Below are 27720 nucleotides of genomic sequence, written 5' to 3'. Positions count from 1 at the left end.
CTCGTGATTCGCCCGCCTCAGCCTCCCAAAGTGCTGAGATTACAGGCATGAGCCATTGTGCCCAGCCTATTTTGCTTTCTTTTTCTTAAAGCGAATCCCCTACCCTCCCAAACTGTGTAATCCTTAGGCTCTAAAAATAATTTGCACCCACCCTTGGTCTAGAGAAATGATAACTGAGGAATAAATGCATCTCTATGTGTGCAATATTATTGTGTGGACCAGCTGTACAAGAAGTAAAGAAAGATAAGCTGAACAAGAGAGAAATTCAGTTAGATATCAGAAAGAAAACACTAGCAAAGAAAATTTAATTATGTATTTATCTTTTTTTTTTTTTTTTGAGACAGTCTCGCTCTATCGCCCAGGCTGGAGTGCAGTGGCATGATCTTAGCTCACTGCACCCCCTGCCTCCTGTGTTCAAGCCATTCTCGTGCCTCAGACTCCCGAGTAGCTGGGATTATAGGCATGCGCCACCATGCCTGGCTAATTTTTGTATTTTTAGCAGAGACAAGTTTTCGCCATGTTGGCCAGGCTGGTCTCGAACTCTTGGCCTCAAGTGATCTGCCCACCTCAGCCTCCCAAAGTGCTAGGACTGCAGACGTGAGCCACCACGCCCTGCCGGAAATTTTAAAATCTCTAAAGAAAATTGCTAGTCAGGCACAGTGGCTCACTCCTGTAATCCCAGCACTTTGGGAGGCCCAGGTGGACGGATCACCTGAGGTCGGGAGTTCAAGACCAGCCTGACCAACATGGAGAAACCCCATCTCTACTAAAAATACAAAATTAGCCAGGCATGGGGACACATGTCTGTAATCCCAGCTACTCAGGAGGCTGAGACAGGAGAATCGCTTGAACCTGGGAGGTGGAGGTTGCGGTGAACAGAGATCGCGCCATTGCACTTCAGGCTGGGCAACAAGAGCGAGACTGTCTCAAAACAAAACAAAACAAAACAAAAACAGAAAGAAAAACAAAATTGCTTACAGAGCTATACATGGCTGTCAAGGAAAGTTTCATATTAACCTTGCCTAGATGCAGGAGACCAGGCTGGATGATTTCTCTAGAAACCCTGCAGCTCTTAAATATGAAGATTTAGACATTAGAAGATCAGCCCCTGGCATTAGAAAGACCCCTAAGGTGTCATTAATATTCAAGGCACTTCTTCTATGGGATTGGGGCAGCAGAGTACAGGGAGTGGAGAGTGTATACCCGGGAGGCAGGCTTCCTGGATTTGGTCATAGTTCCCATCTATTTGTGATCACCTTGGAAAAATCACTTAGCCTCTGTTGCCTGTCTCAGTATCCATAAAATGGGGCCAATACAGTGCCTGCCTCATTGCATTATTCTAAAGATTAAAATGAATACACATAAAGTACTTGGAACAGCACTAAGTTAGCTATGTGGCTATGGCTGCAGGAAGGAGGCAAAGTAGATGGTTATGCATTTTTTTGTCTATGCAGAGAAAAGTTTTAACATACCTTCCCACTGAAGGGGAAATTTGGATGGTAAAAATTGCTGGTGTCTTCAAAGGTCATTGATCCCATTTGTGGAGAAATGTAGATATTCTGAGTGGCATTGGCCTCCACACCTGCAGAGGGAAACCAGATGTATAAAGATCTAGGCACCTGATATTCTCATCTTCACGTTTAATGTCAAGTCTCTGAGAGAATGGTGGCAGAGGGATGAAGTTGAATGTATTTCTGGCCAAAGATCCAAACCAACCTCACCTCCCCAATCTTTTGGAGAAGTATGTAGTATTTCTTCTTTTTTTTTTTTTTTTTTTTTTAAGATGGAGTCTCGCTCTGTTGCCCAGGCTGGAGTGCAGTGGCACGATCTCGGCTCACTGCAAGCTCCACCTCCTGGGTTCACGCCATTCTCCTGCCTCAGCCTCCCCGAGTAGCTGGGACTACAGGCGCCCCCGTCACCATGCCCGGCTAATTTTTTGTATTTTTAGTAGAGACAGGGTTTCACCGTGTTAGCCAGGATGGTCTCGATCTCCTGACCTCGTGATCTGCCCGTCTCGGCCTCCCAAAGTGCTGGCATTACAGGCGTGAGCCACCATGCCCGGCCCGTAGTATTTCTTATAGATGGCAAGATGGGATCTGGTATTTCCCCTTGACTATGAACTAGGAACAAGGTACCATCCAAACACTCAAGAGGGTAGGTCTTGTATACTTGGAGTAAATCTGTCCCTGGGACCAGCCCTTTTTCTTTCTCTTTTCTTAATGAGCCAAGGAGCACCCTACTTACCTGTCCCTTCCTCCACAACAGTAGCCACAATATTGATTTGATGGCTGTACGCATATCCAATGAGGTCAAAGGTGGCCATGTCCACAGGTGCTGAGAAACATCCTGTTTTGTCAGTCTAGTGAGGTGATCAGAGACAGAGATAGAGAGCAGATGAGGAATCTAATCTCTACATCCATTTTATAATGTTCTGTAGAAGGAAATAATTTCTCATCTCCACACTTCAGTTTCTAATATAGAAAAACTCTCCTACAACATGAAGTATACACTTGCACATAGATAATCATGAAATGACTTTGAAGCTCCAAGATTTGGGAAAGGGAAAAAGAAATGCCTTCAAAACTGGAAAATTGTACCTTACTGGGGTTTAGGTCAATTTCTTGGTTCCAAGGCAGACTCTAAAACACTCCCTGTTTAGGATAAAGATCCCTGCTTTGTTCTTTGGAACTGGGATGATAATTCTGGGAAATGCTTTCTACTTTGGGCTGTTTAGCTCTTTTCTAGATTGTTGCTTCCTTACGCTTTAGGACATGTGGATACGTTCTTTTTTTTTTTTTTTTTTCGGTGGGGGAGGGGGACTGAGTGTTGCTCTGTCACCCACGCTGGAGTGCAGTGGCACCATCTCGGCTCATTGCAACCTCCGCCTCCCGGGTTCAAGTGATTCTCCTGTCTCAGCCTCCAAGTAGCTGGGATTTCAGGTGCACACCACCATGCCCAGCCAATTTTTTGAATTTTTAATAGAGACGGGGTTTCCCCATATTGGTCAGGCTGGTCTCAAACTCCTGACCTCGTGATCCGCCCATCTCGGCCTCCCAAAGTGCTGGGATGACAGGCGTGAGCCACCGTGCCTGGCCGATAGGTTCCTTTTTAACCTGTCATTTACTCACCTGTCCAGAGAGGTTCCTGCATTTGTCAGGAAGCTGTTCCCGTTCCACCTCTCGATACCAGTAAGTATTTGCCTTCTGACACACAGATACCTGCACTGCCCCTAGCATGGGCTTTCCATAGGTGTACCTAACCAAGAAAAGCATAAGGAGTCAGAGTTGGGAAATTCCACTTGAGATCCAACTCTTCCCTCAAACACCACTTCTTCCCTCTCACACTCCAGCCTCTGAAAGAAAGCTCTGACAATCTGGGCCAGTGCAGTGGCTCACGCCTGTAATCCCAGCACTTTGGGAGGCCGAGACAGGTGTATTACTTGAGGCCAGGGGTTCAAGACCAGCCTAGGCAACATGGCAAGATCCTGTCTCTACTAAAAATACAAAAATTTGCTGGGCATGGTGGCTCACACCTGTAATCCCAGCTTCTCCGGGAGGAAGAGGCAGGAGAATCGCTTGAACCTGGGAGACAGAGGTTGCAGTGAGCTGAGATCTCCCCACTGCACCCCAGCCTGCGTGACAGAGACTCTGTCTCAAAAAAAAGAAGAAAGCAAGCTCTGACAATCCTACCTTTCTCTAGCTCTCTTCCCCTTCCCTACTTTACTCAGAGTCTTAGAGTAGACCCACTTCCACAATTAGCACCATACTAAGGACGGAAACAGTATCTTTCTTTCTCCTGATCCATATTTATCTATGGGATTCAATATTGTGTCTTGTAAAGACTAAATCAATAATACTATCTGAGTGAGCAATGGAAAAAAACAGCAGAAACACAACTATAAAATATGTTCTTGGCTGGGCGCGGTGGCTCACGTCTGTAATCCAACACTTTGGGAGGCCAAGGTGGGCGGATCACCTGAGGTCAGGAGTCCGAGACCAGCCTGGCCAACACGGCGAAATCCCATCTCTACTAAAAATACAAACATTAGCCAGGCATGGTGGCGCGCGCCTGTGATCCCAGCTACTCTAGAGGTTGAGGCAGGAGAATCGCTTGAACCCATGAGGCGGAGGTTGCAGTGAGCCGAGATCACGTGATTGCACTCCAGCCTGGGAAACAAGAGTGAGACTTTGTCTCAAAAAAAAAAAAAAAAAAAGGTCTTGGATAAGCCATGACTCTGAATTACATAAAATGCCCCAAGTTTTGGCCCACCCATAATCCCACATCCCATGTCATCCCCTCATCATGTCTCTCGATGCATCTTTAATCTCCACCAGATCCCAAGCTTCTGCTCTTACCTACAACAAATTTTTACTAAGAAAGATTCCTGCACCGTTGATAACTCCTTGGGTTCCACCACTTCCACCTTAAACTTCGGCAGCACTGAAGAGAGTAAAAGGAGAAATGGAGAAAGCACTGGAGGAGGAATCAGTCAGACAGGCAGTGAGCAGAGGGGTATAAACAGTGAGAATTAAATTAATGGATCTAATGAAGGAGGCATTATTTAGGTAGCATGTTCCTGAAGTAATTAGCTGGTTCAGCATCGATTCAAAAATGAGTAAATAATCCTTTCCCAGAGTACATTTTACTCCACCTTTGCTGATTTTTTTTTTTTTTTTTTTTTTGAGACGGAGTCTTGCTCTGTCACCCAGGCTGGAGTGCAGTGGCGTGATGTCAGCTCACTGCAAGCTGCACCTCCCAGGTTCACGCCATTCTCCTGCCTCAGCCTCCCGAGTAGCTGAGACTACAGGCACCTGCCACCACGCCCGGCTAATTTTTTGTATTGTTAGTGGAGACAGGGTTTCACTGTGTTAGCCAGGGTGGTCTCGATCTCCTGACCTCATGATCTGCCCGCCTCGGCCTCCCAAAGTCCTGGGATTACAGGCGTGAGCCACTGCGCCCGGCTCCACCTTTGCTGATTTTAAGATGAGATTATGCCCAATACTTTGGCCTGTCCATTTCCCCACCTACCATATTCCTCCACACTGAAAGTACCAAAGGTCTTGCCCTCAGCCACTGCCACAGTGTAGGTGCCCAGCATTGCCTCTGGTGCCAGTTGGAAGGACAGGTCTACAATGCCTTGCTCAGGTACCACTTCCAGCCACTGTGCAATCCTGTTGCTATTTGGATCCTGTCCAATAGAGAAACTGCATGATGTGCCTGCCCGTTTGCTTCCCACTCTGCATTGCAAAAAGCAGGTAAAGAAGCAAAAGGCAGGTAAAAAACCCCACCCATTGTTCATGACCCCTGTGGTCTGTGTCCAGGAAGAGCAGCTCCCTGTGTTATTTATAACTTTCTTTATGGCGGAATGAGGTAAATATTTCTATAGATCCAGCCCCCATTTGGTAGGAAATCTTGTGGATTTTAATGATCAGACTGAGCCCTCTAAAGTGTTATCTCCAGTTTTAGAAAGTAGGACCCAGGATGTCATTTACAAAGAATGTTTACTCTGTTTCTGGTCACTATTAGGGGACAAGGCTGAGGAGATTGATTGTAAGATACCTAAAACATGGGTGATTTAATGGAAAAATGGAGAAGATATTGTGGAGAAATCACCTTCTAGAGCCTTTCCTTTAAAATACTTCTCACAGGTGTTTATGTTATCACGTACCTGTTGAGAATGCCTATGGCAAGGGCTATTACCTTACACTAAGGGGAGTATGGAACCAAGCCTGGTTAAGTCATCTGGGCACAGAGAAGTTAGGGGAATGAGAGAGCGGTGTAGTCATTACAGAGGCTGGTGTCCTTGTCTACTGAAATGTAGGTGTGAGAGACTAGGAGGGCAGAGGCAAGAAAGCAGGCACAGCTTAGGTGGATGTGGGCGCTCGGTGCTGGGCAGAGTCATGGGGCTCTGGGCCAAGATCTCAGAGTTGCTTCTGTCTTCAAGGTGTACCACCAAATTCTCATTCTTCCTCTTCCACAACTGACAGAGAAGAGAAAGAAACTTCCGCTTACCTGTAGTTCCACCATGGAGTACTGAAAAGGAAAACCAGATAATGCGGGTTAAAGAAGGTTGACAGCAATAAGAATAAGTTTGCTGAAAGCAAAAGTTCACAAAGAATTCTTCCTTTCCCTCTTGCCCATTTCTTCATTTCTTCCTTTCTAAATGGCTCTTTTGTGCCCTGAAAAGAATAACAATGGGGGCACAGACTTCTTGGGAGGGAAACAAGGCAGGAGGAGGGTAAGAGTGGGGGCAGGAATCTCAAAGGAATTGCCAGTCTCCAAAAGATTTGAAGAACTGGAGCGTCAGACCAGTCTCAGTACCCTGTGACTGAGCTCTTGCACAAGAAACATGCCCTAAAAGAAGTATTAGCACCAGGGGGTTCCTCAATGTTTAAACCTCTTCTTGGTAGCCAACCATCTCCTGGCTTCTTCCTTTACCATCTGAATGCTTGTGGGCAGGAAGCTTACTTTCAAGCATTGCAAATAATTATTTTTAAAATTGTTTGAAATAGTTCCATTGGAGAATCATGTATCACTTTCCTCAAGACAGTAGTTGCTAAATAGATGTGAAACCATTAAGTTTGTGAGGAACAGGTCATTGTGCTTGCAACTAGATGAGATTGAAAGCTGGAATTCAGTGAATAGCAGGAGAGGGGCTCAGAGAGACTGCAAAGGTATTCAAAAGAGAAGACCAGTTTGGATCTAACTTGGAAAGAAGAAAATGAAATCAAGACAGTCCTTGATTTTTTTATTCTTGGGCCAAGTGTCATGTGATGCCAACCAGTGAAGAAGCTGAACCACTAAATACAAATATCAGCCTTGATAGTAGGGATAATGGCAATTCTTCAAAAAAAGCAAAAAATAAGGAGATCTAAGGATCACGATGAGCTAGGACTTCCACAAACCTGGGCTATATAAACATCAGGAGGAGAATATCACTAAGATTGCTATAAATTTCCATAAAGTCAAAACAAAACAAAACAAACAAACACTTCTTTAGGCCAGACACGGTGGCTCACACCTGTAATCCCAGCACTTTGGGAGGCTGTGGCGGTTGGATCACCTGAGGTTAGGAGTTCAAGACCAGCCTGGCCAACATGGTGAAACCCCTCTCTACTAAAAATACAAAAATTAGCCGGACATGGTGGCACATGCCTGTAACCCCAGCTACTCCGGAGGCTGAGGCAGAAGAATCACTTGAACCCGGACAGTGGAGGTTGCTTGAGCCGGGATCATGCCACTGCACTCCAGCCTGGGTGACAAAGTAACTCAAAAACAAAATACAAAACAACAACAACAAAAAACACTTCGATAACAAAGTACTTTTCTCACACAGGGATCAAGAATCAGGAAAGACATCAGTTGGCCAGAAATAGGCTCTGGAAGAAAATAAGTGTTTCACTAGGAAAGTAGCATTGCTGAGGCCAGGCATGGTGGCTCACGCCCATAATCCCAGCACTTTGGGAGGCTGAGGTGGGCAGATCACCTGAGGTCAGGAGTTTGAGACCAGCCTGACCGACATGGTAAAACCACATTTCTACTAAAAATACAAAATTAGCCAGATGTGGTGGTACATTCCTGTAAACCCAACTACTTGGGAGGCTGAGGCGGGAGAATCCTTTGAACCCAGGAGGGGGAGGTTGCAGTGAGCTGAGATCCCGCTACTGCACTCCAACCTGGGCAACGCAGCGAAACTCCGTCTCAAAAAAAAAAAAGGAAAGTAGCATTTCCGACTGGAAGTTGCCTGGAGTTTCTGAATAACTGAGTATAGCAATCAAGTTAGACAGGGTCAGTTAATATCAGGCTTACTTTACTTGTTTGGGGATTAAATATTGTGCTGTGTAAATGAAACTGACTTTGCAAAATTAAAACTGAGGAAACGATGACAGTGAAAGAAATCAGACCTAACCAACGCTATCTTGCTTCTAAGCAGTTCCACTCCTCTCACCTTAGGTACCCTCACTACGCCCCCTCTCAGCAGGAAGAAGCCAGAACAATCGACAGCCTTTTCCCATCTTCCTAGCCCACACCTGAAGATTAAGGTGTTATAAAACCCAAAGGGAGGGACTGAAGCCGCCTTTGCAAAATTATAACTGAGGAAACTATGAAAGTGAAAGATGTCAGACCTAACCGACTCCATCTTGCTTCTAACTTGTAAGCTGTCCTTGTGGATTCCTGGGTGTAAGCCAGACTAACTTTGGGAAGGAATTCAGTTCATGGTTTGACTCTGAAACAAAATTGATAACAGCCCTTTCCCAAAAAGACCCCCTTCTTGCCCGGGGACCAGTCTGCCTTTGCAGGACTAACAAATTAGCTACAAGATTAGAAATTACACTTTAGGGGTCATGCAGCCTCTGACTCCAAGAGTCTGAACCTCTTCAAATTGCTCCTGGGGAGAACATCACTGTTGTAAAACCCAAGATCAGCGCCTGAGATGTTCTGCAGACCCTGCATTCAGTGGATCAGCTGACACCACCCAGACCAGTAATCTGGCTCAACCAGTTCTGCCATCCCACCCAGGAGGAGGAAAACAGCAAGAAAACCTCACTTTGACCATCTATGACTCCATCTCCAACCTGACCAATCAGCACTCCCCACTTCCCAAGCCCCTACCTGCCAAATTATCTTTAAAAACTCGATTTCCTGGCCAGGCGCGGTGGCTCACGCCTGTAATCCCAGCACTTTGGGAGGCCGAGGCGGGCGGATCACTTGAGGTCGGGAGTTCAAGAACAGCCTGACCAACATGAAGAAACCCCGTCTCTACTAAAAGTACCAAAATTAGCCGGGCGTGTTGGCGCATGCCTGTAATCCCAGCTACTTGGGAGGCTGAGGCAGGAGAATCACTTGAACCTGGGAGGCAGAGGTTGCGGCGAGCCGAGATCGCGCCATTGCACTCCAGCCTGGGCAACAAGAATGAAACTCCGTCTCAAAAAAAAACAAAAACAAAAACAAAAAAAAACTCGATTTCCAAATGCTCAGGGAGACTGATTTGAGTAACAGTAAAACTCCAGTCTCCCACACAGCCGGCTCTGGGTGAGTTACTCTTTCTTCATTGCAATTCCCCTGTCTCGATAAATCAACCCTGTCTAAGCAGCAGGCAAGGTGAACCCATTGGGTGGTTACATAAACACAATTTTTATCCTAGCTTTCTTGGTAAAATTCCTTTTGTTAATCTCAGTGTTTCAACTGAATTTGGAGGGAGAGTTTGGCTGGAGAAATAGAGTGGGGAGGAAGGAGTAATTTCACAAGAGAAAGAGCCTAACTGCAGAAAACAGAACACCTGGAAGTAATCCCGCTTCATTTGAATCGTAACAGGGGTAGTTAATGAGATCAACCCTGAGGGTAAGTGAGTCTAAAATAGTGCTGCTGCGGGCCACGCTTTGAACCCAGCACTTCCTTGTTGCAGCTCTAGAGAAAACAGTCTGTTAAGAAGTAAGCACTCAGGCCGGGTGCAGTGGCTCAGGCCTATAATCCCAACACTTTGGGAGACCAAAGCGAGAGAGGCCAGGAGCTCAAGACCGGCCTGCGCAACAAGGTGAGACCCCCGCCCCCCACAACTCTACAAAAAAATAAAATAATTAGCCAGGTGTGGTAGTGCACACCTGTGGTCCCAGCTACTGGGGAGACTGAGATGGGAAGATTACTTGAGCCCGGGGCAGGGTCAAAGCTGCAGTGAGCCATGACTGCCACTGCACTCCAGCCTAGGTGACAGAATGAGACCTTGTCTTAAAATGTTAAAAAAAAAAAAAAAAAGTAAGAAGTACTCAACGTTATACCTACCAAAGAAAAGCCATAGGTGATGGGAAGGAGGAAGTAAAAGGAAATCTATATTGGGAAAGAGAGTAGCGGGTAGGGCATTACCAATCATAACAAGCTAATAACTCCCCTGCACATAGGGAAAGGAAACAGCAGCTCTGAGAACACGGAGATGGAAAATGGAAATCATGCTTTCTCTATGTTTATCTCTAAAAGTTTCATTTGAATACACAGGCTGGGACAGACGGAAGAGGAAGAAAGCAGGGGTGTCCGGGAGGTAAGTGTCTCAGAAGCATGTAGAAATGACACATGCTCCAACTTGAAATCAAACCTGTGGTAAGGCTTATGATTCTAGGGATGGGGAGTCCAAGGAAAAATCAAATATTCGCAAAATGTTGCTACATTTTAAGCTTTGGCATGTATTTATTTAATGTTGCCCTAAGAGAATTACCTACTTTGTAAATTATTTTGCCTCATAGAAACAGAGTGGAAGCGGACATTCTCCTTTCTGCCTTAAAAAAAAAAATGCTTTTGTCAGTCCTGAAGAAAAGGTCTTGAAGTTTGCGAAAACTCTTAAAATGAAAGGGGGCTGAGCATGGTGGCTCTTGTCTGTAATCCCAGCACTTTGGGAGGCCGAGGTGGGTGGAACACTTGAGGTCAGGAGTTTGAGACCAGCTTGGCCAACATGATGTAACCCTGTTTTTACTAAAAATACAAAAATTAGCCAGGCGTGATGGTGCGCGCCTGTAATTCCAACTATTTGGGAGGCCGAGGCAGGAGAATTGCTTAAACCCAGGAGGCAGAGGTTGTAGTGAGCTGAGGTCACGCCATTGCACTCCAGCCTGGGCCACAGAGCGAGACTCTGTCTCTAAATAAACAAATAAATAAAATAAAATGACAAGGAGCATAACCATCTCTCAAGAACCTGATGAATGTGTAGATACTGAAGCTGAGAACTGGTTACCTCTGCTTGTTCCTAGGCTGATTTAGGCTAGCTCCCTGAAGCTCGCCCAGCACTTCCAGTCCCACGCACACAGCAGTCTCCAACCCAGAGGGCCTCGCCTTGCCACGCCCAGGCTGAGAGGACTTCCACCCTAGAGAATCTCTCATCCTTTTCCCTGTTCTCCCTGCGCCACTCCTTCTCCTCCTCCCAACTCACCTTGTCATTCACTGGAACGAAGTTGCTATCCATGGTGACAATGCGGAAATACACTGGAAAGGAACAGGCATCATTAGCAAAGGGGATGTTTCCTGGCTCAGAATTTTTTTTTTTTTTTTTTTTTTGATACAGGGTCTCACTCTGTCACCCAGGTTGGAGTGCAGTGGCACAACCGTGGCTCACTTCAGCCTCAAACTCCTGGGCTCAAGTGATTCTCCCACCCCAGCCTCCGGAGTAGCTGGGACCACAGGCAGGTGCCACCACACTTGGCTAATTTTTGTAGAGACAGGGTTTCACCATGTTGGCCAGGCTGGTCTATGAACTCCTGACCTCAGGTGATCCACCTGCCTTGGCCTCCCAAAGTGCTGGGATTATAGGCGTGAGCCACCGCGCTCCGCCTCCTGCTCAGAATCTTTCCTCTATCCCTCCTCCTTCCTCACACATGCTCTGAGTCAGCAAAACCCCAACAGGTTTTACTTTTTTACAAAACCTGCTCTGAGAGTAAGGTAAAGTCCAAACACAGGCCTGGAGCTCAGGAGGCAGAGCAAGAGGCAGAATAGAAGCCTCCATTGACCACCCTCCTCATCCCCCACAGTAACACCAAACTGAACAACTGCCCACGCAAAACAGCACTGTCATAAGAACCAAAAATCAGAAGAGTGATCACAGTGCCTGGTTTTAACTTTATATCACTGAAAGAGGCACTGAAGAGGGTAGAAAAGACACACTTGAATTGCTGATTCACCCCCTCCCCGCCATCCCCCAGCAGTGACTGTGGTACAGAGACAGAATCGATGAGCTTGAGGGCGGGAGAGCACAGTGACTGTGGGACTTGGCTTTAGAATGCAATGCTGCCCAATCACAGGGGAAAGCACACAGGGCAGAACTCAGCCAGTGCCCATGGAGGGAGCATTTAGACCAGCGTTAGCCAGGGGTGAACTGCCCATCCCAGCGGTTGGAAGCTGAGTTCCGATTAGCCCCTGGGGCTCTAAATACTCAGCAGTGATAGCTGGGCAGTACTTGTCGTGGGCCTTGGGTGAGACTCAGAGACATGCTGGCTTCCAGTGATTCAGCACATTCCCAGCTGTGGTGACTATGGGGAGAGACTCCTTCTACTTGAGAAAAGGAGAGGGAAGAGTCAAGGGGACTTTGTCTTGCAGCTTAGGTACCAGCTCAGCCACAGTGGGGTACAGCACCAAGCAGGCCCTTGGGGTCGCCAGTTATGGGCTGTGGCTCTTGGATGCCATTTCTGGACCTGCTGTTTGTCAGAGGAGAGCTCACTGCCCTGAAAAGAGAGTCCCAGGCCAGGCACCATTCACCACAAGCTGGTGAAAGGAGACTTTGGGCCTCGAGAGAATACTGGAAGTATCCAGGCAGTACTCCTGTGGGCCTGGAGTAGTGGTGGCCACAGAGAGAGACTCCTCTGTGAAAAGGGGAAGGAAGAGTGGGAAGGACTTTGTCTTATGGCTTGGGTGCCAACTCAGCTGCAGTAGAACAGAACACCAGGTAGATTCCTAAGGTTTCTGACTCCAGGCCCTGGCTCGCAGATTACATCTCTGGACCTTCCAGGGTCATGGGGAACTCACCACCCTGAAGGGGAGGACACAAGCCTGGCTGGCTTTGTCACCTGCTGACTGTAGAGCCCTAGGGCCTTGAGCAAACATGGGCAGTAGCCAGGTACTGGTTACCACAGGCCTTGGGTGAGACACAGTACGGTGCTGGCTTCAGATCTGACCCAGTGCAGTCCCAATGCTGGTGGCCACAGGGGTGCTTGTGTCACCCCTCTCTCCAGGCAGCTCAGCACAAAGAGAGAAACTCTGTTTGTTTTGGAGAAAGTAAGGGAAGAGAACAGGAGTCTCCTCCTGGTAATCTGGAATTCTTCCAGATCTTATCCAAGACCATCAAGGAGGTACCTCTATGAGCCTTCAAGAGCCACAGAGATACTGAGCATGGGGTCCTCCCTAATGCAGATGAACTGCAGAGTCCAAACACTTAGATTACGACACCCAAGTCCCTTCAAATACCTGGAAAGTCTGCCCAAGGAGGACAGGTACAAACAAGTCCAGAATGCCAAGACTACAATAAATACCTAACTCTTCAATGCCCAGACACCAATGAACATCCACATCAAGACCATGTTGGAAAAAATTACCTCACCAGATGAACTAAATAAGGCACCAGCAACCAATCTCCCAGAAACAAAGATAGTGATCTTTCAGATCGAGAATTCAAAATAGCTGTTTTGAGGAAACTCAACAAAATTTTAGATAACACAGAGAAAGAATTCAGAATCTTATCAGATAAATTTAACAAAGAGAAAAAAAAAGAGGTATTGACTTTAAAGAGGAGGTTGAGAGAGAAAATGAGATGGAAAGTTTATTCAAAGTGAAAATAACAGAGAACTTTCCAAACCTAGAGAAAGATATCAATATTATTATTATTTGAGACAGTCTCGCTCTGTTGCCCAGGCTGGAGTGCAGTAATGTGATCTTGGCTCATGTGACCTCCGCCTCCCTGGTTCAAGTGATTCTCCTGCCTCAGCCTCCCCAGTAGCTGGGATTACAGGCACAGGCCACCTTGCTTGGCTAATTTGGTATTTTTAGTAGAGACAGGGTTTTGCCATGTTGGCCAGGCTGGTCTCGAAATACTCATCTCAGGTGATTTGCCCACCTCAGCCTCCCAAAGTGCTGGGATTACAAGCATGAGCCACTGAGCCCAGCTGAGAAAGATATCAATATTAATTACAAGATTATAGAACACCAAGCAGATTTAGCCCAAATGAGTCTACCTCAAGACATTTAATAATCAAACTCCCAAACATCAAGGAATAAAAAACAAAAAAGAATCCTAAAAGTGCAAGAAGACAGACGTGGTGGCTTACGCGTGTAACCCCAGCACTTTGGGAGGCTGAGTGGGGAGGATAACTTGAGGTCAGGAGTTGGAGACCAGCCTGGCCAACATGGCGAAACTCCATCTCTACCAAAAATACAAAAATTAGCCAGGGGTGGTGGCGCTCACCTGTAAACCCAGCTACTCGGGAGGCTGAGGCAGGAGAATCACTTGAACCCAGGAGGCAGAGGCTGCAATGAGCAACCATTTATTGCATTCCAGCCTGCGCGGCAGAATGAGACTCCATCTCAAAAAACAAAAAAACAAAAACAAAAATTAGCTGGGCATGGTGGCGCATGCCTGTACTCCCAGCTACTTGGGATGCTGAAGCACAAGAATCACTTGAACCCAGGAGGCAGAGGTTGCAGTAAGCAGTGATCCCGCCACTGCACTCCACAGCCTGGGCAACAGAGGGAGACTCTGTCTCAAAAACAAAAAAAATTCAGTAACATTTCTATATGCCAACAGGGAACAATCTGAAAAAGAAATTAAGAAAGATAATTCCATTTACAATAGCTATAAATAATATAAAATACCTAGGAATAAACTTTACCAAAGAAGTGAAAGATCTCAACAATAAAAACTATAAAATACTGATGAAAGAAATTGAAGAGGACACACAAAAACATGAAAAGAGATTTCATGTTTCTGGATTGGAAGAATTGATATTGTTAAAATTCCGTACTACCTAAGGCAATCTACAGGTTCATTGCAATCCCTATCAGAATACTAATGACATTCTTCACAGAAATTCTACATCCTAAATCTTAGGACTTTTGTAAAAAAAATCATAAAATTTTTATGGAACCATAAAAGACCTAAAATAACCAAATCTATTCTGAACAAAAAGAACAAAGCTGGAAGAATCACATTACATGACTTCAAATTATACTGCAAAGCTATAGTAACCAAAACAGCATGGTACTGTCATAAAAACAAATACATAGACCAATGGAACAGAATAGAGAACCCAGAAACATGTCTAGGGTGAACTCATTTTTGACAAAGGTGACAAGTGTATACACTGGAGAAAGCACAGGCTCTTCAATAAATGGTTCTGGGAAAATTGGATATCCATATGCAGAAGAATGAAACTAGACCCTCATCTCTCTCCATATAGAAAAATCAAGTCAAAATGGATGAAAGATTTAAATCTAATACCTCAATCTATGAAACTATTATATATAAGAAAACTTTGGGGAAACTCTCCAGAACATTGGTCTGGGCAAAGATTTCTTGAGTAATACCCAAGGAGCACAAGAAACCAAAGCAAAAATGGACAAACAGGATCACATCAAGTTAAAAAGCTTCTGCACAGCAAAGGAAACAATCAACAAAGAGACAACCCACAGAATGAAAGAAAATATTTGCAAACTACCCATCTGACAAGGGATTAATAACCAGAATATATAAGGAGCTCAGACAGCTGTATAGGAAAACATCTAGTAATCAGATTAAAGAACGGGCAAAAAGATCTGAATAGACATTTCTCAAAAGAAGACATACAAATGGCAAACAGGTATATAAAAAAGGTGCTCAAATCATTGACTGTCAGAGAAATGTAAATCAAAACTACAATGAGATATTATCTCACCCCAGTTAAAATGGCTTTTTTCCAAAAGACAAACAATAATAAATGCTGGTGAGGATGTGGAGAAAAGAGAACCCTCATACACTGTTGGTGGGAATGTAAATTAGTACAACCACTATGGAGAACAGTTTGGAGGTTTCTGAAAAAAACTAAAAATAGAGCTTCCATATAATCCTGCAAGCCCACTGCTAAGTATATATACAAAAGAAAGGAAATCAGTATATCAAAGACTATCTGTGCTGCCATGTTTATGGCATCAGTATTCACAATAGCCAAGATATGGAAGCAACCTAAGTGTCTATGAACAGATGATAAAAAATGGATTAAAAAATGTGGTACACATACATAATGGAGTACTATTCAGCCATAAAAAAGAATGAGACCCCATCCTTTGCAACAGCCTGAATGGAACAGGAGGTCATTATGTTAAGTAAAATAAACCAGACACAGAAAGACAAACTTTCCATGTTCTCATTTATTTGTGGGAGCTAAAAATTAAAACAATTGAAGTCGTGGAGATAGAGAATAGAATAATAATTTTTAAGTGTGTGGAAAAAAATAAGGTAAAAGGAAAAAAATTTTTTTGAAAGAGAGAGAGAGAACAGAATGATGGTTACCAGATGCTGGGAAGGGTAATGGTGGGCAGGATGAGGGGTGGGGTGGGAATGGTTAATGGGTACAAAAATATATTTAGCTAGAATGAATAAGATCTAGGGATCTTGTAGTTTTTAGCACAAAGAGTGACTACAGTCAACAATAATTTATTGCACATTTAAAAATTACTAAGAGAGTATAATTGGATTGTTTGTAATACAAGGAAATGATAAATGCTTGAGGTGATGGATACACATGTACCCTGATGTAATGATTACACATTGTGTGTGTGTATAAAAATATCTCATCTACCCCATAAATATATATACACCAGCTATGTACCCACAAAAATTTTAAATAAAAAAATAAAAAAAACCCAAACATAGTTTCTTTTCAGGGTGCCTGACTTTGAAATCTCAGAATGAAGTGCCCCTGTAAGGACGAATGAACAAATACAAAAAAAAAAAAAAAAAAAAAAAAAAACCCCAGTAGCTCAAGCCAAATGCCCTCAGTGCTTTCTTAGCCATTTACAAGCAGTTTGTTGTAAGGCCCAGCAACCCAGTTATACTTGCCAAATTCTATTCCAGAAGAAATGTGTACTTTTGTTTTAGATACACAAACTCAGTAGCAACCCCCACCTACTTCTCTTGCTTGTGTAGCGCAGCATGTATTCAACACTTGCACTACTTAATCCCCCCAGATTTTCCTCTCCTCTGCACTCCTTTTTTTCCAAAGCCTACTGTCAAACCACAAATCCCCTCTTTACCCCTGTGCACAGCGGTTTCCCCAGGTTTTAGTCGAACCCCAAATATGTGACTCTTACCTTGCTGCCCTGGGGTGTAGAGAGGTTTGTCAGTCTGTACAAAGGTGCCGTTCCCCTGCCTCTGAATTAGAACCTTTTTCTTCTCCTCAAAGCTGATGTTATTTCCAACTCCCGACACCCGGATTGTGGCCACTTCTTCTGTGCCACCAGCAGGAGGTGGTACCTGACCAAGAAAGGGGACTTCTGGGGAGGGGTAAGGGATTGGGGGAACAGAATCAACTGGTCTCAACCCAACAGTGAGTTAAAGGAAAGAGCTGAGTTAGATGGGGGTAGCAAGGATAGAGACATAAAACAAATTACCACGAGGAAGAATTAAGGTCAGGAACTAAAGGGAGAAATCCTAGGTCGAGGAAACCGTGGGTGAGTTATAGCCGGGGATTGAGGTTAAGTTGAGAAAAAATAGGTTTAGAGGCCGTGGCAAAAGATAACAGAAATTATACTTAAAGTAGATTATAGTGAGCCTAGGGAGGAGAATAGGCAAGTAAGGGATTCGAGTGAGGGCTGAGTCTGTGCTTACAAGAAAGGAGATACAATGTAAGTGCCTCTTCTTCAGTCCAGAGTATTCTAGCAACTTCTGGGTCTTGTCCTTGGTCTCCAGAGTAACCGTGAATTTAACATCACTGTACCCAGGGCTCAGGTCCAAACAAACCTTCTGAACGGAGGGGAAATTTAGCCGGGCTGGTAATGTCACCAGGTAGTTTCTATTAAAGGAGCAGAAGGATTTCAGGGCAATAATGATTCATTCACTCGAAAAATCCAGCACTCTCCTAAGCGCTCAGCAAGTAGCAGTGAATTAGACAGACCAAGCCCCTGCCTTCCTTATGCACCTCATTTTCTACAAGAAGCAGAGGGGCAACGACTCAGTGCACAGTCTTCAACTTCCGCCATCAGGAGGCCCTCACCGAGCACACATGCCTAGAGCACCAAGGAGGAAATTAGGCCTATTTCAGAAAACAGGGCACATTTTAATATTTATCTTTTTTAAAGCTTCCTCTTCATGCGTCAGCCTCCCTCTCTGGGTAAAGGATCAGTGGAACCAAAGAAGAGAAAAAAGGAGGAGGAAATTAAGATAAACCAAAGTTGATCTCCCCATCTCCATATAAATGTTTGAGAAAGTTAGGCGAAGAAGCCGCTGCCCTAATAAACCAATTCTGACACCAAGCACTCACGGAAGTTCTTCTGCAATGGCTGGTGATAGGGCCAACATTCCTAGAAGGAGCTGAGCCCACATCTTTGTGGGTGAGACAGATTTTTCCAGGGTCAGGGGCAGAGATCGCTCCGCGTAGCTTTATATACTAATTCCAGGTAGGGTGTGCAGTGATGACTGATGCTATAGTCAGTCACCTCCTGGCACCTGGAACACAGGAGGACTGTGTTCCTCCTTCTGTAACCACCAGGTTAGGTGGTGGACCAGGGTAGGGCCACTATTCACTTCTTTAAAGTTGTTTCTGCCTGGAACATCCATACTGGTTCAGCCAGTTTTGGGGGAAAACCAGAGCTGAGTATTCATAATGGTAAAGCTCTCAGAACATATTTTGAACTCCTCCCTTTTTTTCTGGTCTCATTCCAATTCCTGTTCTCATTTAATGTCCTTATTTTCTTTTATTATTCAATTAAGGTGTAGTTGGGAACACGGGTATGAGAACAGTTTCAATAGAAAAGCAGTAAACTTGGCCGGTCACAGTGGCTCACGCCTGTAATCCCAGCACTTTGGGGGGTTGAGGTGGGCAGATCACCAGGTCAGGAGTTCAAGACCAGCCTGGCCAACATAGTGAAACCCTGTCTCTACTAAAAATACAAAGAAAAAAAAATCAGCTGGGCATAGTGGTGGGTGCCTATAGTCCCAGCTACTTGGGAGGCTGAGGCAGGAGAATCGCTTGAACCCGGGAGGTGGAGGTTGCAGTGAGCCGAGATCATGCCACTTTACTCCAGCGTGGGTGACACAACGAGACTCTGTCTCAAAAAAAAAAAAAATTAATACTACTCAGTATTGTTGTGACTGTATGGAAATAGGGACACACACAGTCCTAGAGAAAATAGAATGTGGATAACTTTCTCATGGCAATTTTGTAATACACACCAAAGCCTTTGAGATTTGCATATTCTTTCACTCAGCAACTCCTACTCTGGAAATGTTTCTTAATGAGGAAAAAAAGGACAGCATGCATGTATGCACAAGTGTAACACTGAGTTTTTTCACACTGTTCTTTCTTTTTTTTCTTTTCTTTATTTTTTATTTTTTTGAAGTAGAGTCTCACTTTATCACCCAGGCTGGAGTGCAGTGGCACAATCTCAGCCCACTGCAGCTTTGACCTCCTGGGCTCAAGCGATCCTCCCACCTCCACCTCCTGAGTAGCTGGGACCACAGGTAGGCACCAACACTCCTGGCTAATTGTTTTGTATTTTTAATAGAGACAGGGTTTCACCATGTTGCCCAGGCTAGTCTCGAACTCCTGAGCTCCAGGGACCACCTCAGCCTCCCAAAGTGCTGGGATTACAGGTATGAGCCACCGTGCCCAGCCCACAGTGTTCTTTATGATGGTAATACTTAGAAGTCACCTAAAATATAAATTAGTCTAAGTGCAGTGGCTCATGCCTATAATCCCAGCTTTTGGGAGTCAGAAGCTGGAGGATTGCTTGAGCCCAAGAGTTTGAGACCAGCCTGGGCAACATAGTGAGACCCCGTTTTGTAACCACCCAATGGATTCACCTTGCTTGCTGCCTAGACAGAGCCGATTTATCAAGACAGGGGAACTGCAATGGCAAAAGAGTAATTCACGCAGAGCCGGCTGTGTGGGAGACTGGAGTTTTATTATTACTTAAATCCTTGAGCCTTCGTGGATCAGAGTTTTTAAAGATAATTTGGCAGGTAGGGGCTTGGGAAGTGGGGAGTGCTGATTGCTCAGGTTGGAGATGGAATCATAGAGGGTCGAAGTTAGATTTTCTTAATGTCTTCTGTTCCTGGGTGAGATGGCAGAACTGGTTGGGCCAGATGACTGGTCTGTGTGGTGTCAGCTGATCCCATGGAGTGCAGGGCCTGCAAAATAACTCAATTACTGATCTTAGGTTTTACAGCAGTGATGTTATCCCCAGGAGCAATTTGGGGAGGTTCAGACTCTTGGAGCCAGAGGCTGCATGACCTCTAAACTGTAATTTCTTTTTTTTTTTTTTTGAGACAGAGTCTGGCTCTACCGCCCAGGCTGAAGTGCAATGGCGCGATCTCGGCTCACTGCAAGCTCCGCCTCCCGGGTTCACGCCATTCTCCTGCCTCAGCCTCCCGAGTAGCTGGGACTACAGGCGCCCGCCACCACGCCCGGCTAATTTTTTGTATTTTTAGTAGAGACGGGGTTTCACCGTGTCAGCCAGGATGGTCTCGATCTCCTGACCTCGTGATCCGCCCGCCTTGGCCTCCCAAAGTGCTGGGATTACAGGCGCGAGCCACTGCACCCGGCCTCTAAACTGTAATTTCTAATCTTGTAGCTAATCTGTTAGTCCTACAAAGGCAGACTGGACCCCGGGCAAGAAGGGGGTCTTTTTGGGAAAGGGCTGTTATCAATTTTGTTTCAGAGTCAAACCATGAACTGAATTCCTTCCCAAAGTTACTTCGGCCTATGCCCAGGAATAAACAAGGACAGCTTAAGGGTTAGAAGCAAGATAGAGTCGGTTAGGTCTGACTTCTTGCACTGTCATAATTTCCTGTTACAATTTTGCAAAGGCAGTTTCAGTCTGTATAAAACATTTCTTTAAAATTAGCTGAGTGTGGTGGTGCACGCCTGTAGTCCCAGCTACTCTGGAGGCTGAGATGGTAGGATTTGCTTGAGCCCAGGGGTTCAAGGCTGCAATGAGCCATGATAGCACCACTGCACTCCAGCCTGGGCAACAGTGAGAACTTGTCTCATAAAATAAAATAATAAAATAGATTAGCCAGGATGCTCTCTGGGACCAATGATCATCCTATATCAAACCAGCCTAAACAAAAAAGTGTTTTTGGTAACTGGAATGGATCCAACAGGAAGAATGAGCTTATGGAACCAGAGCACCTTGAAAAACTTGACAGCCCAGGAGTGGAGACGTGGTGCAGCCAGGGCCGACTCCTCCCAGTCCTTCTCTCTTGTGTACTTGTCTCTGATTGGTTCATTTTCTCCTACTGCACACAAGCTTTTCTTCAAGTCGTAGGGAGGACGGCAGCTGGGAGCCCTCAAGCCATATTCGTTCAGCTCCACGACCCCAACTGACAAAATTTTTCACCTATGTTATAGAAATTCCCGAAGAAGGACTGTGTTCCTCCCTCTCTCGCTGGCTCACCTCTGAATCAGTCACTGTAGTCAGGAGGGTATGATAGGCAGGGCCTGGGTCATTCTCCCACCTAAAGGCCAGGGTGATGGGGTACTGTGATTGGCCACCCCTTTAGAACCACAGGGAGTTGGGGAGGGGAAATTGTTCAAAGAAATCACTACAGTAGGAAAAGTGTTGGTGTAAAGAGCTGCAAACATAAAACATTAAGTCTATTACAATGCCCCATAAAGAGTTCGGTTGAATAAACTGTCATGTTAATATAAAGCAATACTCTGCTGCCATTAAAAATAATGTTTTCATGATAAGGGGAATTATTTGCAATGCTAATTGAAAGGGGTTGGGGCTGGTGCAGCGGCTCACACCTGTAATCCCAGCACTTTGGGAGGCCGATCCGTAGGAGCTCGAGACCAGCCTAGTCAACATGGCGAAACCCTGTCTCTCCCAAAAATACAAAAATTAGCCAGGCATGGTGGTGGGCGCCTATAATCTCAGCTACTCGGGAGGCTGAGGCAGGAAAATCACTTGAACTGGGGAGGTGGAGGCTGCAGTGAGCTGAGAGCATAACATTGCACTCCAGCCTGGGCAACAAGAGTGAAATTCCGTCTCAAAAAAAAAAAAAAAAAGAAAAGAAAGGGGTTGGGGAAAGTGATACAAAACGACATGTGGCAAGTTCCACTTTAACTTGGAATTTGAAAGGCTAGAAAGAGTGTGGCTTGGTGGCTCGAGCCTGTGATCTCAACACTTTGGGAAGGCAAGGTGGGAGGGTTGTTTGAGGCCAGGAGTTCGAGATCAACCTGGGCAGTATAGTAAGACCCCATCTCTACCAAAAAAAAAAATTAAAAGTTAGCTAGGTGTGGTGTCACATGCCCAGCTACTTGGGAGGCTGAGGCAGGAAGATCACTAGAGCCCAGGACTTCAAGTCTGCAGTGAGCCATGATTGTGCCACTGCACTCCAGCCTGGGCAACAGAGCAAGACCCTGTCTCTAAGAATAAAAAATAAAAATAAGCTGGAAAGTGCATTGCCCCCTCTCTGACAATATGAAAAAGCCAGACAAACTGCAAAATCACTTTTCTTAAACCAAAAGTTGAACCTAAATGCTGAGCTGGGCCGGGGGCGGTGGCTCACGTCTGTAATCCCAGCACTTTGGGAGGCTGAGGCAAGCAGATCACAAGGTCAGGAGTTCGAGACCCGCCTGGCCAATATGGTGAAACCCTGTCTTTACTAAAAATACAAAAAAATTAGCCAGGCATGGTGGTGCATGCCTGTAATCCCAGCTACTCGGGAGGCTGAGGCAGGAGAATTGCTTGAACCCAGGAGGTGGAGGTTGCAGTGAGCTGAGATCACGCCATTGCACTCCAGCCTGAGTGACAGAGCAAGACTCCATCACAAAACAAAACAAAAGAAAACAAAACAGCTGAGCTGAGGTTGCAGGTAAGCTAAGTAGCCTGAAATTCAAGGACATGCAATCCTCATGAGCAGAGACCAGATGGGTGGAGTGTCTCATCAGTGCCAGAGTATGGGAGGTATTTAGGCCATCATACAAGCATGCAAGAAGAAAGCAGCTACATTTTTCATAAATTGCTAGAGGCCTAGTGCAGACTAGAGTGACTATAAGGAGCCTCTGGGTGTCACAGAAGCAAGGAGGGCTTTACTTACCCACAGGCTCCTTTCCATGACCTCTACCAGGTGTTCACAGGAAATACTGGGGGCCAAGTGGGAGACTACAAAGAGCCCCCTCAGTACTATGGGCATCAAGGACCGTATTTGCTATCATTGCAGAAAAGGCCCCAGCTGCCCATGCTCCTCTCTCGAAAGCCTTAAGACCCTGGGGAGGACTGGCAAATACTGTTGCTCCCAGGGCACAGGTGTTACCAAGGGAAGAGCAGGGAGGACCCTAGTCCGAGGGAGGGACAAGGAGCAATTGTGAGCCCAGAGTTCTAAGCTAATACTTTTAGAGGTCTCCTGAAACTGAAGGAGGAGCACAAAAAAATCTTTCCCACCCAAGACCAGCCACAAATTCAAAGCAGGGTTTGGCAGCCTGGCATAAGGAGTGGGGCAGAAATACTCATCCCCCAGGGCCCAGGCATATAAACCTACCTAAGATAGAAGATGAAGAGGGCAACAGAGAAGCACCCTGTCCCCTCACCATTACCCGAGCAAGAGCACCAAGTAACTAAGCAGTCCGCCACTGGCAGAGGGCATGAACGTGCAGAGAGACGACCTCTGTGGGGTCTGCTGTGTGGTGTACAGAGGAGAACGAGAGCTGAGGGTGGGGCACAAACACTGAGAAATAGCCAGCACTCCAGATGCCACCCTAAGCATAAGGCATCACAAAAGGAATTTGAAGCCTATGATGTACCGAAAGTAAACTTGGCAATTACAAAACCTGCACAGTTCACCTTTTAACTAGATTAACTCAATCCACCAAGCTAACTGCCTGAGAAGAGGTGTGTCCATTTCTAGTCACAAATACTATTTATTTAAATCTCTCCTGTTCTACACAAGATGTTTGGCAATCAATGAAAAATTACAAGTTGTATCAAAAGAAGAAGAAGATGACAACAACATCCTGTGAAGATACAAAGTAATCAATGGAACCAGGCTCAGAGCTGCCCTCCATGTTATAATAAAAGAGAGAGACTTTAAAATGCCCAGGAGTCATATGTCAAAGGAGCTCATGAAAAAAAAAAAAGGACAACAGACATGAGGAGATGGTGTCAGGGGTGGATTTCAAAAGAAAGGTGGAAGTGATCGACTTCCTGAAATACTAAACATGACAGACTTTATAGAAGTTTCAAAAATAAGATATGCAATATCAGGCCAGGAACAGTAGCTGAAGCCTATTAATCCCAGCACTTTGGGAGGCCAAGGCAAAAAGATCACTTGAGCCCAGGAGTGTGAGACCAGCCTAGGTAACATAGTGAGGAGACTTTGTGTCTATGTAAGATAAAGACATTAGCTAGGTGTGGTGACTTATATCTGTAGTCCCAGCTACTTGGGAGGCTGAGGTGGGAGAATTACTTGAGCCCAGGAGGCCAAGGTCGCAAGCAAGCTGAGATCGCACCACTACACTCCAGCCTGGGCAACAGAACAAAATCCTGTCTCAAAAAAAAAAAAAAAAAAAAAAGAAAATGCTGTATCAGAGATGAGCAGCTCCTTCTTCAGGCTCATTAATAACCTTGACAATACGAATATAGCTGAGGAAATAATCGATTGCCTTGAAGTTAGGTCAATAGAAATTACCCAAACAAACACAACAAGAAAAAAGAGTGAAAATCATTTGAATTCTTTTCAAATAATTTGAATTTTTATAGCACTTGAATTATCTTCAAGTGCTATAAAACAATATCAAATGGCTTAGCATACATATTATCAGAATCTTAGAAGGAGAAACGAGAAAGAACAAGCAGAAGACATGTTTGAAGAGACAAGAAATGAGAATTTTCCAAAAATAATGAAACACATCAAAGAATAGATTCAAGAATTATAAACAATTTCTCCATGTTTCCCCTAATTCACACACACTAGGCACATACATACATGCACGCACCGTCTCTTGGTTAGGTTGTAAAATTGTGATGGTCTCTGGAGGCTCTGTTTGATTTGGACACAGGGAAAACCAGTATATTCAATTGAGTTTTGGGTCACTCTACCACTCTACATAAACTCCATAAACTTTTTTTTTTTGAGACAGGATCTCGCTCTGTCACCCACCCTGGAGTACGGTGGCGTGATCTCAGCTCACTGCAACTTCCACCTCCCAGGTTCAAGAGATTCTCCTGCCTCAGCCTCCTGAGTAGCAGGGATTACAGGTGCGCGCCACCATGCTGGGGTAATTTTTGTATTTTTAGTAGAGACAGGGTTTCACCATGGCCTCCCAAAGTGTTGGGATGACCGGCATGAGCCACTGCGGTCTTGTTTTCCTTGGTTCCCATCACTCTTCCTGCTAAGAGCAATCGCCCAGGTCTGTGAACACCCACTCCTCCGTAGATGGTGAGTGCCCCTCCAGCTAGAGCTGCTGACTCCCTTTACCACTTCCATCAGTCAAATCGGCCCACCAGTGATTTTTATCTCTTCTGATCCATTTTAAAATCTATTTAAATGCAGCTATCAGTCTGATAACCTGTCTGGAATTTGGTGGGAGGAAATGTCCAGGGTTTAATAATCTCCCAAAGTTAGGCTGCATAAAACCCTACTGTTGACATCTCATGTGGTGCATATGGGCGAAACGGAGCCGTGTGGAAGGCTATTCTGTAAAGGGGTTAGCGTGCTTGGATTTGCTCTGGGTATCAGAATCCTGACTTGAGACTTTTAGCTTAGATAGACACCATAATATGTTACTTCGAAGGCTTCTTACACTTGGACCTTTATTGTAAATAATAGAAGTATTTCTGGAGTAAGAATTACATCAATTATATATTATCATGTTATGCTACATATTAGGCATAACATATATATATATATATATATATATATATATATATATATATATATAGTTTTTGTTTGTTTTTTGAGACAGAGTTTCACTCTTGTTGCTCAGGCTGGAGTTCAATGGCACGATCTCAGCTCACGACAACCTCCGCCTCCTGGGTTCAAGTGATTATCCTGCCTCAGCCTCCCAAGTAGCTGGGATTACAGGCGCCCCCCCACCACCCCCGGCTAATTTTTTTTGTATTTTTAGTAGAGACAGGGTTTCACCATGTTGGTCAGGCTGGTCTCGAATTCCTGACATCAGGTAATCTATCCACCTCGGCCTCCCAAAGTGCTGGGATTACAGGTGTGAGACACCACGCCCGGCCTATAATATATATTTTTTAATTATTATCCAAGGGTGCTGACATAAATTTCCAATTTATTCGTGCCAAAAAATTAGTGATGATAACTGCCAATCAGTACAGCTAAAGAAAATGTTTTCATTCTGGTGTATTTGGAAGTCTTCTGTCTTTATATTATCCCAGCCTTCCTCACTCATTTCTGTGTATTTTATACTTTGTTTCACACCATTCTGCTCAAGGGTATTATTTTCGCATTTCCATATTATTTCTATTTTTCACAGGTAGTCTTTGGTCTTACATCTGTGAACATCTTCTTTGACTATTTTGCTTTTCCACGAAGGGCTTTCCAAAAACTATTAGCCCACTTTACTTGGTAACCTCCCAGGAGACAGCTTAGTCCTGTCTGCTAAGGGATGCTATTCTCAGCAAGTCAGTTTTCTGCTCTCCTCACTGCAAGGGAGGCCAGAGGAGAAGAGCCTGTTTCTGTTCCACCCAGGACTGTTGATTTGAGGTTCTACCTCCAGAGAGCATGGGGCTAATCAAACCAAGACACAACACTAAGGAAAAGAAAAGAAAGAACAAGCAGAAGCTGGGGCCACTCCTTGCTTGCCACTGTCTCCTCCCTCCTTCTTACTAATTATAGGCTTCACTCTGTTCCTTTTTCAAATGTATTCAAGTGAATATGCAATGTACCAAAGTTTGCATATGAATGCATCAGGGAAAATAAGGGTGCTACCCAACCCCACCCATGCTTAGACAGCACATAAACCAACATTTGGCTTCCTAAAGTCAGAAATGACAGAAAACTGAAAGTTCAAAGAGGGAAAAAAGAAACATGGAGATCACATGCTCAGATTATACCTAGGGGGAAAAACCTTTTTTTTCCAACAAATATTTATTGAACACTGCTATGGGATAAATTGTATCCCCCTCAAAATTTATATGTTGAAGTCCTAACTCCTAGGATCTCCGAGTGTGACTTAATTTGGAAATAGGGTCCAGCCTGCCCTGGAGATATTGGACTTGCCAGCCTCCACAATCATGTGAGCCAATTATAAATCTCTCAGGGTGTGGGGCAGGCCCTGCCCCACACCCTGAGAGATTTAAAAAATAATATATATAAACAAGCCGGGTGCAGTAGCTCACACCTGTAATCCCAGCACTTTTGGGAGGCCGAGGTGGGCGGATCACCTGAGGTTGGGAGTTTGAGACCAGCCTGACCAACATGGAGAAACCCCGTCTCTACTAAAAAAATACAAAATTAGCCGGGTGTGGTAGCACATGCCTGTAATCCCAGCTACTAGGGAGGCTGAGGCAGGAGAATCGCTTGAACCTGGGAGGCAGAGGTTGCAGTGAGCCGAGATCGTGCCACTACTCCAGCCTGGGCAACAAGAGCAAAACTCCATCTCAAAAAAAAATAAACAAGCAAAGTATATACATATATACAAACTATATACATACACATATATAGTTTGTTTCATGTGCGTCCGTGTGAAGAGACCACCAAACGGGATTTGTGTAAGCAATAAAGCTTTTAATCACCTGGGTGCAGGTGGGCTGAGTCCGAAAAGAGAGTCAGTGAAGGGAGATGGGGTGGGGTCGTTTTATAGGATTCGGGTAGGTAAAGGAAAATTACAGTCAAAGAGGGGTTGTTCTCTGGCGGGCAGAGTGGGGGTCACAAGGTGCTCAGTAGGGGAGCTTTTGAGCCAGGATGAGCCAGGAGAAGGAATTTCACAAGACAATGTCATCAGTTAAGGCAGGAACCGGCCATCTGGATGTGTACGTGCAGGCCACAGGAGATATGATGGCTTAGCTTGGGCTCAGAGGCCTGACAGC

The 27720-nt window shown here is 45.1% G+C and overlaps 1 protein-coding gene and 1 long non-coding RNA gene across 9 annotated transcripts in view, besides 4 other annotated features; one reads left to right on the top strand and one right to left on the bottom strand.

The window, feature by feature from the left end:
- A2ML1 (alpha-2-macroglobulin like 1) overlaps positions 1-18074 on the bottom strand; it is a 64839-nt gene extending 46765 nt beyond the window's left edge. For all 8 annotated transcript variants that reach the window (XR_931275.2, XR_001748594.2, XM_011520566.3 and 5 more), the window contains exons 1-10: positions 17982-18074; positions 17330-17513; positions 16813-16975; positions 10916-10968; positions 6013-6033; positions 5029-5188; positions 4356-4440; positions 3129-3255; positions 2245-2359; positions 1473-1582 (exon numbers count right to left, since the gene is read on the bottom strand). Coding sequence is in view for 6 of the 8 variants with exons in the window: in XM_011520566.3 (XP_011518868.1) it covers positions 1473-1582; positions 2245-2359; positions 3129-3255; positions 4356-4440; positions 5029-5188; positions 6013-6033; positions 10916-10968; positions 16813-16975; positions 17330-17513; positions 17982-18043 (1080 nt within the window). In the remaining 2 variants the exon portion in view is untranslated. The remainder of the gene's footprint in view (positions 1-1472; positions 1583-2244; positions 2360-3128; positions 3256-4355; positions 4441-5028; positions 5189-6012; positions 6034-10915; positions 10969-16812; positions 16976-17329; positions 17514-17981) is intronic.
- Positions 7867-8610: an enhancer, noted in NCBI's record as "H3K27ac-H3K4me1 hESC enhancer chr12:8984681-8985424 (GRCh37/hg19 assembly coordinates)". NCBI's record gives its function as "activates a minimal SCP1, AML or CMV promoter by ChIP-STARR-seq in primed H9 embryonic stem cells {active_cell/tissue: H9 hESC(primed)}" and the evidence as "EXISTENCE:reporter gene assay evidence [ECO:0000049][PMID:30033119]".
- A2ML1-AS1 (A2ML1 antisense RNA 1) overlaps positions 9389-27720 on the top strand; it is a 55096-nt gene continuing 36764 nt past the window's right edge. Inside the window, exon 1 of the long non-coding RNA NR_046715.1 lies at positions 9389-10033. This is a non-coding gene — a long non-coding RNA (A2ML1 antisense RNA 1). The remainder of the gene's footprint in view (positions 10034-27720) is intronic.
- Positions 11583-12325: an enhancer, noted in NCBI's record as "H3K27ac-H3K4me1 hESC enhancer chr12:8980966-8981708 (GRCh37/hg19 assembly coordinates)". NCBI's record gives its function as "activates a minimal SCP1, AML or CMV promoter by ChIP-STARR-seq in primed H9 embryonic stem cells {active_cell/tissue: H9 hESC(primed)}" and the evidence as "EXISTENCE:reporter gene assay evidence [ECO:0000049][PMID:30033119]".
- Positions 21028-21322: a silencer, noted in NCBI's record as "tiled region #8322; K562 Repressive non-DNase unmatched - State 23:Low". NCBI's record gives its function as "represses a minimal TATA promoter and a strong SV40 promoter by Sharpr-MPRA in K562 cells {active_cell/tissue: K562}" and the evidence as "EXISTENCE:reporter gene assay evidence [ECO:0000049][PMID:27701403]".
- Positions 25742-26268: an enhancer, noted in NCBI's record as "H3K27ac hESC enhancer chr12:8967023-8967549 (GRCh37/hg19 assembly coordinates)". NCBI's record gives its function as "activates a minimal SCP1, AML or CMV promoter by ChIP-STARR-seq in primed H9 embryonic stem cells {active_cell/tissue: H9 hESC(primed)}" and the evidence as "EXISTENCE:reporter gene assay evidence [ECO:0000049][PMID:30033119]".

The sequence above is a fragment of the Homo sapiens genome, chromosome 12 (genome assembly GCF_000001405.40).
Source record: "Homo sapiens chromosome 12, GRCh38.p14 Primary Assembly".
Classification (NCBI taxonomy): Eukaryota; Metazoa; Chordata; class Mammalia; order Primates; family Hominidae; genus Homo; species Homo sapiens.
The sequence above is the reverse complement of the archived record's forward strand: the minus strand, read 5'-3'. Positions and strand labels throughout refer to the sequence as shown.